Genomic DNA, 9,655 nt, shown 5'->3' on the forward strand with positions numbered 1-9,655 from the left:
ATGAATCATTAAACAGAGTAGCATTAATGCTCACCACATACATTAGATAAGAACTTCTAGGAAGTCCTCTGTTTCAAAAGCAGATATGATAAAAAAAGGCTTTAAACCTACAGGGTTTGCTCCTCCAGGGCTTCAGATTAGGGCAAATAACGCACTTCTGCCTACCAGCTGTTCAATACTCATCTCCCAACCCAAATCCACAAGTTCCACAAATGCTTTCGAATGCCTGTTGAAAAACATTGTTCAGTCTCATCACATACACACGTTCTACAGATAATTACAACTTCTTGTATGCCTACTTGTAAAACTACTAAGTAGTTCACATTTTAAAAAATTTCCCTAAGAATTTTGCTTCCTTTAAAAAAACTGCTTCTTCGATTCCTAAATCTATAGAACTCACTTTATCACGTCTTCTCGGTTAATCCAAGAATTAAAAAAACCATTTTGCCCATACTGATAACTTTACTACTCTGCAGGATCCGAAAAGCTCTCTATATGCCAGGTTCTAGGATTCACACACATTAACAACCTAAGATCCTTCAAGTGAGATAGCTCTTGCAGTACAGAGCACAGATTCTCAGGGTCGTGGGGGATACCGGCTGAGGCTCTTCAGACCCCCACCACAGGAGTTCCGTCCTCTAAGGGCAACCCCCTCCCCCTTGGCCGCGGCGCGAGTCCAGGCCTCCCGGGCACCTGCGGCCCCTGCCCGCTGCGGGGACCCCCCGAGGAACCAGCCCCCCGCCGGGCCCCAAGGAATCGGCGCCCACTCCCACTCCTGGAGGCCAGTGACTGCAGGCCTAAGCCGCCCGCCGGCCCCGGGACGCGACGTTACCTGTAGGACCACGTCGTTCGGCAGCTGCGCGGCCCGGAACAGCTCCAGCACCCGCCCGTTGACCACCACCTTCTTGGTGCTCTCAATGTCGCAGTAGGAGAAGAGATCTGAATAGTATTTCTGCTCCGCATCGCTCAGCGTTAAGCCTTCCATCTTCGCCTCCGGCTCACGGCCGCCCCGCCCCGCATGCACTACTCGGGGCCCGGCCCCAGGAACCTGGGCCGGCAGGGGCTGCGCGTGGCCCGGCCTCCTGCTAGCTTCCCGAAAACGCCGGCCCCGGCCTCACACGCGCCAGGTGCGCCCGAGCAACAGGGCCCGGAGGTCGCGAGGAGGGGGCCCGGCTGCGCTCGCCGCGCCGCTGCCTGCGAGGCCCGGCGCGCGGCTGCGGCTGCGGCTGCGACTACGGCTCCGGCTCCGGCTCCGGCTCCGGCCGCGGGGAGGGTGCAGAGAAAGAGGCGGGGGCCGCGGAGGCGCGAGGCACTGGCGGACTCCGCCCCCGCCGCGGGTTCGAGTCTCCCCGGCTCCCTGCCGATTCCCCCAGACTTCCCGCCTCGGCTTCCCCTTCCGTCCACGCCTCCGGAGCGGCAGCGCTTCCCGGAAAGTTGTGGGGCTTCGAACCTAAAGTTTCGGGGGATCTGGGCTGAGCGTGGCCGCCGCTCCGCCTCCCTCCGCCGCCATTTACAGTGCCCCGGCCCGGCCCCGACGCGCCCGCACCAACAGTGACAGCGGCGGCCGCGCTCCAGACCCGGATGTGAGGCCGGGAGGAGAGAGCGCGAGAGGGAGAGAGAAACACCCACCGGGCTGGCTTGGCCGCTCCCGGGAGAGGGAGGAGGCCGCAGCGCCCCCTGGTGGCCGGCGCCCGGCGGCGGGATGACCGAGCCGCCCTCTGCGCGGAGATCTCAGCAGCAAGACCCCCGGAAAGGGGGGTGCAGTGGGAAACAGCCGGCAGCTCATTAAGACCGAGATAACTAAGATCCGGGTTGCAGTTTTTATGTTTCGCAGTTTCTGGTCCTAAGCGTCTGAATAATTGGATTGAAAGGGGAGCCTTGTTCAGGTTATTATCATTCTATCTGTACCTTTTCGGTACAGATGAAGATAAATGCAGTATTTCCATCTGTTCTGAAGGGCTATGAACATCCGGGCTATGAACATCCTGGCTATCCGGGAAGCCTCCACGTAGACACCAACATTGAGGCTTCATCTCACTCGTGCTTCAAGCCATGTTTACCTGAGAAACAAAATGTGCTGAATAGAGGGGAAAACTGGCAAAGTTGTCCTCTTTGTTCACCAGGTCATTCCGGTCACTGGGAACTTAATACTCTACATTTATACCTTCAACTCTATCAACTCATGTAGGCCCGGGGCTGCCCACAGGGGCTGCCTTCCGTATTTTCTCCTTTATGAAAATCATGGAGTGGCGCTCTTTTAATCTGCACCTGTCCCAGAGAGGGGATTCTTCAGCTATTTCAAGTAGAATATCTTAAGAATTTATACTTAGCAAATATAAAATACTTCAAAGACGGGAGCTAAGGCAGAATTACCCAGAGTTCTGGTTTTTATTTTGTCTTCTACAAGTTGTTTCCCAGAGTGCGGATCCTATAAATGACACATATGAGGAAATTATTACAGGTTCCCAGTCATTTATCTGTAATTGCAAAATTCAAAGCGCACTGAAAACCCAAAGACTTTTTTTTGTAACCCTTTGGAAGTAAAACCTGCCCTGCCTCATTTGGAGGCAAAATCTAAACTAAGCTTGCATGAAGCTATTTCTAGCCTTTATGGATCCCACTTAGTGTCAATATTTACTCATTTCACTCCAGGTCTTTGTAGAATGTTAATATGTACACAGTCACAGGCATTCTATTATCTTTCTATTTTTTAAGAAAGATAAGGGATTTTAGACCTGTCAATGTCTTCTGACTTGACTAGTAGTATTTGATAAAGGTAAGTATATACTATCCATTAAGCTTATTTCCCATCTCTAAGACTTTCAGTTTGCTACAGCAGCCCCTCATGTGTCCTTTCAGGGCACCTGCAGCAAGTGATCAGACCCCCCCCAGACAGCTGCCTTCCAAAGGTGTAAACAGAAAGAGCACAATGGGGTAGGGATTGGCTCACAATTGTCTTTGCATCTTTTTCTCTGCCACCTCTCCTAGGCCTTGCAGCTCTTGTCGGCCCCAGGGCCTTTGTTCCTGCCATCTAAAATAGTCCTTCCACAAACCATGGCATGGCGTATTCTCTCATATGGTTTCAGGTCCCTGCTCATATGTCACCTCCTCAGAGCAGCCTTCCTGCAACAGCTGCTGTAAAATAATCCCACCATGCACTATCCCCTTATCTGAATTCCTTTTTTTTCTCTTTTGAGACAGAGTCTCCCACTGTCACCCAGGCTGGAGTGCAGTGGCATAATCTTGGCTCACTGTAGCTTCGACCTCCCAGGCTCAGGTGATTCTCCCACCTCAGCCTCCCAGGTAGCTGGGACCACAGGCCCAGGCCACCATGCCCACCTAAATTTTGTGTATGTGGCTTTTGTAGAGACAGAGTTTTGCCATGTTACCCAGGCTGGTCTCAAACTCTTGGGCTCACCCACCTCAGCCTCCCAAAGCGCTGGGATTACAGGCATGAGCCACTGCACCCAACCTGAATTCTTTTTCTTTATAACACTTTTCACTATCTGACATTACATATATAGCTGTTACATTTTTAACGGCTAATTATTGAATAATTACTAAGTTTCAGGCATTGTTCTAAAGCTTTACACTAATAACCACATTATTCACAACAACCCTATTAAGTGGTACTACTAGGTTTTTTTTTTTTTTTGACAGATTAGGAAACTGAGGCAAAATGGGTTAAGTATTGTGTAAGTCATGTTGCTATTAAATACCCGGATCTGGGATTCAAACTCCAGGCTGTCTCAACTCTAAAAATCACTACCCTATCTTGCCTGTCTAATTTCTTTGTTAAGTTTGTTATTAAGAAAATATTTCTTCACCAGGCATGGTGGCTTATGCCTGTAATCCCAGCACTTTGGGAGGCTGAGGTGGGTGGATTGCTTGAGCTAAGGAGTTCAAGACCAGGCTGGGTAACACGGTGAAACACCATCTCCACCAAAAATACAAAAATAGCCAGGCATGATGGTGTGCACCTGTGGTCCCAACTACTCGGGAGGCTGAGGTGGGAGGATCACTGGAGCCCAGGAGATAGAGGCTGCAGCGAGCAGTGATTGTGCCACTGCACTCCAACCTGGGAGACAGGACGAGACTCTGTATCAAAAAAAAAAAAAAAAAGAAGAAGAAGAAGAAAGAGAGAGAGAAAGAAAGCAAGCAAGCAAGAAAAGAAGGAAAATATTTCTTCATTGCCACAGTGCCAAAGCCCAGTATGTGACACATAATGTGTATCAATAATAATTTGTTGAATGAATGAAAGCATCAATTTTGACATTGATGTGATAAGCCATTCAATACAGTAAGTCCTCAATTAATGTTATTGTGGATAGGTCCGTGGAAACTAATTTTAAGCAAAACAAGGTATTCTAACCAAGTAGTTTAGCTTCAAAAGAAAACTTTTTTCTTTTCTCCTTTCTTGCCAGTCTCAAGCTGTAACCTTGAAACAAACTGTAGAAACCTTTTCTCTTTAGTCTTAAAATATAGCCTTGAAACATACTTTGAAACTCCACTCCCTTCTATTTCCCACAATGTACTCCCTTACCCAATGCACATTTATCTAACTGTATGCTTCTTAAAAATTCCAGGGGCTAATTTAAAATGAACTAGGCACAAAGGCCCAGCTGCAGAATTGTCCCCCACTTAAAGATTGCCTCAAGATAGATAATCTGCAGCCTGGCCACAGGCGAGATGACGCCAGCCTGCATTTTAGATGGACCATAACTCAAGATAGGCGTTGAAGCAAGACACACAGCCCGGGCTCCCGGCACAACTCTTGCATGTTTCCCATATCAAGGTTCCCTTTTTGAAACCTCTGCCTTCAGCCCAGACTTTTGAAGCAGTTTCCAGAGGTGTAAGCTGGCTGTTTCCCCACTGCTAGCTTTGAAAAATAAAGTCACTTTCCTTTCACCCCTTGTTATTGGGTTTGCAAAGGGCAAACAGCCAAGGCTGCACTTGGTTACGGTATCACGAAACCAATTTTATCATAGGCTAATTGATAATTTGCTACAAACAAGAGTTAAGTTGCTGTGACATATTTCTGGTCACAGAATCACCAAATTTCTAAATCGAGACCAAAACACTTCTAATATTAAACATTTAAGTAAAGGTAAGCTACACATGCAACTAAAATGATTAACTAAAAAAAAAATAACTACTTACCCTATTTTTGGTATATTGGTGAGTTACCACGGTTGTCCTGGTGGTGGGTTAAATCAAGGAATAAATGTCTGCAAAGTGAAGTTCAAAATCATCACAAACATGGTGGCTTGCTGAGCTCTCTGGCACCACCTTGTTTACTGTTTTGCATCTGTATGATCATCATATGCTTTACACATTTTTATTTTTCAGTCACTTATATTCATTCATTTTCCTACCTACTTATTCCATTTCGGGGTTGTGGGTAGCAAGAGCCTATCCCAGTGGCTCATGGGACAGGTAGAACCCAGCCCCTGTCTAGGATGTGATTGCATCACAGGGTATACACACACACACACACACACACACACACACACACACACACACATCCACACTCACTCAGACTGGGACCATTTAGACACCCTGACTTATCTAATGTGCACATCTTTGGGATGTGGAGGGACACCTGAGGATTCAGAGAAAACCCACACAGACATAGGGAGAGCATGCAGACTTCACACAGACAGTGGTGCCTACGGGGAATGCATTTATTTTTTCTCATCAATGTTATAATGAAACAATGTTGCTATTGAAGGACCTGTTACCTTCTAATCTCCTCCTAGTTTTGCACCCTTAACCTTAGAAACCTCCAGCACCACTCCTCTTTAGCAACCCAAAGTAATTATAGGATTGCTTCACTTCCAAGTTCTGGAACTCTGAAACTTCTTTCTCAGTCCATAACATGCTGTCCTTTCACTCTCACGTTCCAGTCCTCAAATAAGCATGCACCCTAGGCTGGGCGCGATGGCTCACACCTGTAGTCTCAACGTTTCCGGAGGCTGAGGCAGGTGGGTCACCTGAGGTCAAAAGTTCGAGACCAGCCTGGCCAACATGGCGAAACCCTACCTCTACTAAAATTACAAAAAAAAATTTAGCTGGGCATGGTGGTGTGCGCCTGTAATCCCCACTATTCAGGAGGCTGAGGCAGGAGATTCGCTTGAACCCGGGAGGCAGAGGTTGCAGCAAGCTAAGATCACACCACTGTGCTCCAGCCTGGGTGACAAGGCGAGACTCCGTCTCAAAAAAAAAAAAAAGAACAAACAAACAAAAAATACTTGCTCCTTGATATGGTTTGGCTGTGTTCCCACCCAAAATCTCATCTTGAATTGTAATTTCCATAATTCCCATGTGTTGTGGGAGGAACCCATTGGGAGGTAACAGAACCATGGGGGCGGTTACCCCCATGCTGTCCTCCTGTTAATGAATGAGTTCTCAGCAGATCTGTTGGTTTCATAAGGGGATTTTCCCCTTTTGCTCAGCACTTCTCCTTACTGCCACCATGTGAAGAAGGATGTGTTTGCTTCCCCTTCCGCAAAATTTTCTGAGGCCTCCCAGCCATGCTGAACTGAGTCAATTAAACCTCTTTCCTTTATAAACTACCCAGTCTTGGGTATGTCTTTATTAGCAGCATGAGAACGGACTAATGCGATATTGGTACTGCAAAGAGTGCGGTGCTGCTGTAAAGTTACCTGAATATGTGGAAGTGACTGTGGAACTGGGTAACAGGCAGAGGTTGGAAAAGTGTGGAGGGTTCAGAAGAAAATAGAAAAATGTGGGAAAGTTTAGAACCTCCTAGAGATTTGGAGGGCTCAGGAGACAGGAAGATGTGGGAAAGTTTCGAACTTCCTAGAGACTTGTTGAATGGCTTTGACCAAAATGCTGATAATAATCTGGACAATAAATTCCAGGCTGAGGTGGTGTCAGATGGAGATGAAGAAATGTTTGGGAACTGGAGTAAAAGTCACTCTTCCTATGCAAAGAGACTGGTGGCATTTTGCCCCTGCCCTAGAGATCTGTGGAACTTTGAACTTGAGAGAGATGATTTAGGGCACCTGGCAGAAGAAATTTACAAGTGGCAAAGTGTTCAAGAAGAACCAGAGCATAAAAGTTTGGAAAATTGGCAGCCTGATGATGCAGTAGAAAAGAAAACCCCATCTTCTGGGGAGAAATTCAAGCCCACTGCAGAAATTTGCATATGTTACAAGGAGCTGAATGTTAATCACCAAGACAATGGGGAAAATGTTTCCAGAGCATGTCAGAGACCGTTGCAGCAGCCCCTGCCACCACAGGCCCAGAAACCTAGCAGGGAAAAATGGTTTCATGGGCTGGGCCCACAGCCCCCCTGCTGTGTGCAGCGTAAGGACTTGGTGCCTTGCGTCCCAGCCACTCCAGCTGTGGCTAAAAGGGGCCAAGGTACAGCTCAGGCGGTGGCTTCAGAGGGCATAAGAACCAAGCCTTTGCATCTCCCACATGGTGTTGAGCCTGTGAGTGCACAGTAGTCAAGAACTGAGGTTTGGAAACCTCCGCCTAGATTTCAGAGGATGTATGGAAATGCCTGGATGCCCAGGCAAAATTTTGCTGCAGGGGCGATGCTCTGATGGAGAACCTCTGCTAGGGCAGTGCAGAAGGGAAATGTGTGGTGGGAGCCCCCACACAGAGACCCCACTGGGGCACTGCCTAGTGGAACTGTGAGAACAGGGCCACCATCCTCCAGACCGCAGAATGGTAGATCCACTGACAGCTTGCACCATGTGCCTGGAAAAGCCACAGACACTCAATGCCAACGCGTGAAAGCAGCCAGGAGGGGGGCTGTACCTTGCAAAGCCACAGGGGTGGAGCTGCCCAAGACCATGGGAACCCACCTCTTGCATCAGCGTGACCTGGATGTGAGACATGGAGTCAAAGGAGATCATTTTGGAGCTTTAAGATTTGACTGTTCTGCTGGATTTCAGATTTGCATGGGGCTTGTAGCCCCTTTGTTTTGGCCAATTTCTCCCATTTGGAACTGGTGTGTTTACCTGTACCACCATTGTATCTAGCAAGTAACTAACTTGCTTTTGATTTTACAGGCTCATAGGCAGAAGGGACTTCCCTTGTCTTCAGTGAGACTTTGGACTATGGACTTTTGGGTTAATGTTGGAATGAGTTAAGACTGGGAGACTGTTGGATAGGCATGATTGTGTTTTGAAATGTGAAGACATGAGATCTGGGAAGGACCAGCAGCAGAATGATATGATTTGGCTGTGTCCCCACCCAAATCCCATCTGGAATTGTAGTTTCCATAATCCCCACATGTTGCTGGAGGGACCAGGTGGGAGGTAATTGAATCACGCTGGCATTTACCTCCATGCTGTTCTCGTGATAGTGAGTGAGTGCTCACCAGATCTAATGATTTTATGAGGGGCTTTTCCCCTTTTGCTTGGCACTTCTCCTTGCCACCATGTGAAGAAGGATATGTTTGCTTCCCCTTCCGCCATGACTGTAAGTTTCCTGAGGTGTCCTTGGCCATGCTAAACTGTGAGTCAATTAAACCTCTTTCCTTTATAAATTACCCAGTCTCAGGCATGTCTTTATTAGCAGCATGAGAATGGACTAATATGCTCCTTATAACCTTCAGGTTCTCCTCAATACCAGCACATAGTTAATGTATTCAAAAATATACTTTGAGCATCTTGTGCCATTGTAAAACAAACTTCATGGTCTTTTCTTCAGGGATCATACAGTTCAGGGACCTTGTTGTCATTATGTCCAGGGTACTCTGCTAGCACCCTTGATTCCTTCATGCACTCTACCCCTGGCCAAATAACTGAATTGGCCACAACATGTGTGTTATCAGATTTTGAGAGGGACTCTTCCAGTGGTTCTATTACTCTATGAGGCTTTCCTAATGTAACAGGACATGGAGTAGTTTTCTCATTGACAACCAAGGCCAAGCCGAAGACCAAAAGTCACGAGTACCACACATTCTAAAGAAAAATAATAGGCCAGTCACGGTGGCTCACGCCTGTAATCCCAGCACTTTGGGAGGCTGAGGCGGGCAGATCACCAGGTCAGGAGATCGAGACCATCCTGGCTAACATGGTGAAACCCCGTCTCTACTAAAAATACAAAAAAAATTAGCCAGGCATGGTGGGGGGCGCCTGTAGTCCCAGCTACTTGGGAGGCTGAGGCAGGAGAATCGCTTGAACCTGGGAGGTGGAGTTTACAGTGAGCCGAGATTGCGCCACTGCACTCCAGCCTGGGCGACAGAGTGAGACTCCATCTCAAAATAAAAGAAAAAGGAAAATAATAAAGTCAGACCCCTTTCCTTATGGGATTACTAGTAGGCAACTGAATGGACCTTACTGCCAGCAACCACTGCCTCAACCTGCAGGCACACATCCCCGGATGGAGGCAGAGTCCTAGATGTCATCAGTCTATGAGAAGCAGTGTGTCTGTGTGAGAGCCCCTCCAAACAAATACATACTCCTCCATGGAAGCAGGAGCTCAAAAAGACAGGGAAGCCTACAAGAGGAGGAGCCTGCCTCCTTGCTTCCGAGATGGATACTGGGTGGGCTGAGTGGTAGAAGGCTAACAGTTTCACAATGAATTAAATTTTTCTCTAGATCTGTCACTTAAATTCATATTTCCAATTATAAAGGAAAAGAAATACGATGTAACACATTGGCCCTTTGGGTTC

The 9,655-nt window shown here is 47.7% G+C and overlaps 1 protein-coding gene across 13 annotated transcripts in view, besides 2 other annotated features; it reads right to left on the reverse strand.

The window, feature by feature from the left end:
- Window positions 1-1,556, reverse strand: part of REPS1 (RALBP1 associated Eps domain containing 1) — an 84,761-nt gene extending 83,205 nt beyond the window's left edge. For all 13 annotated transcript variants that reach the window (NM_001286612.2, XM_047419432.1, XM_005267179.5 and 10 more), the window contains exon 1: window positions 833-1,556. In NM_001286612.2, the coding sequence (NP_001273541.1) occupies window positions 833-985 (153 nt within the window). In that variant the 5' untranslated portion in view covers window positions 986-1,556. The remainder of the gene's footprint in view (window positions 1-832) is intronic.
- Window positions 1,058-1,357: a silencer, noted in NCBI's record as "silent region_17601". NCBI's record gives its function as "represses an Ori minimal core promoter by ATAC-STARR-seq in GM12878 lymphoblastoid cells {active_cell/tissue: GM12878}" and the evidence as "EXISTENCE:reporter gene assay evidence [ECO:0000049][PMID:35858748]".
- Window positions 1,548-1,787: a silencer, noted in NCBI's record as "silent region_17602". NCBI's record gives its function as "represses an Ori minimal core promoter by ATAC-STARR-seq in GM12878 lymphoblastoid cells {active_cell/tissue: GM12878}" and the evidence as "EXISTENCE:reporter gene assay evidence [ECO:0000049][PMID:35858748]".

Source organism: Homo sapiens, chromosome 6 (assembly GCF_000001405.40).
Source record: "Homo sapiens chromosome 6, GRCh38.p14 Primary Assembly".
NCBI lineage: Eukaryota > Metazoa > Chordata > Mammalia > Primates > Hominidae > Homo > Homo sapiens.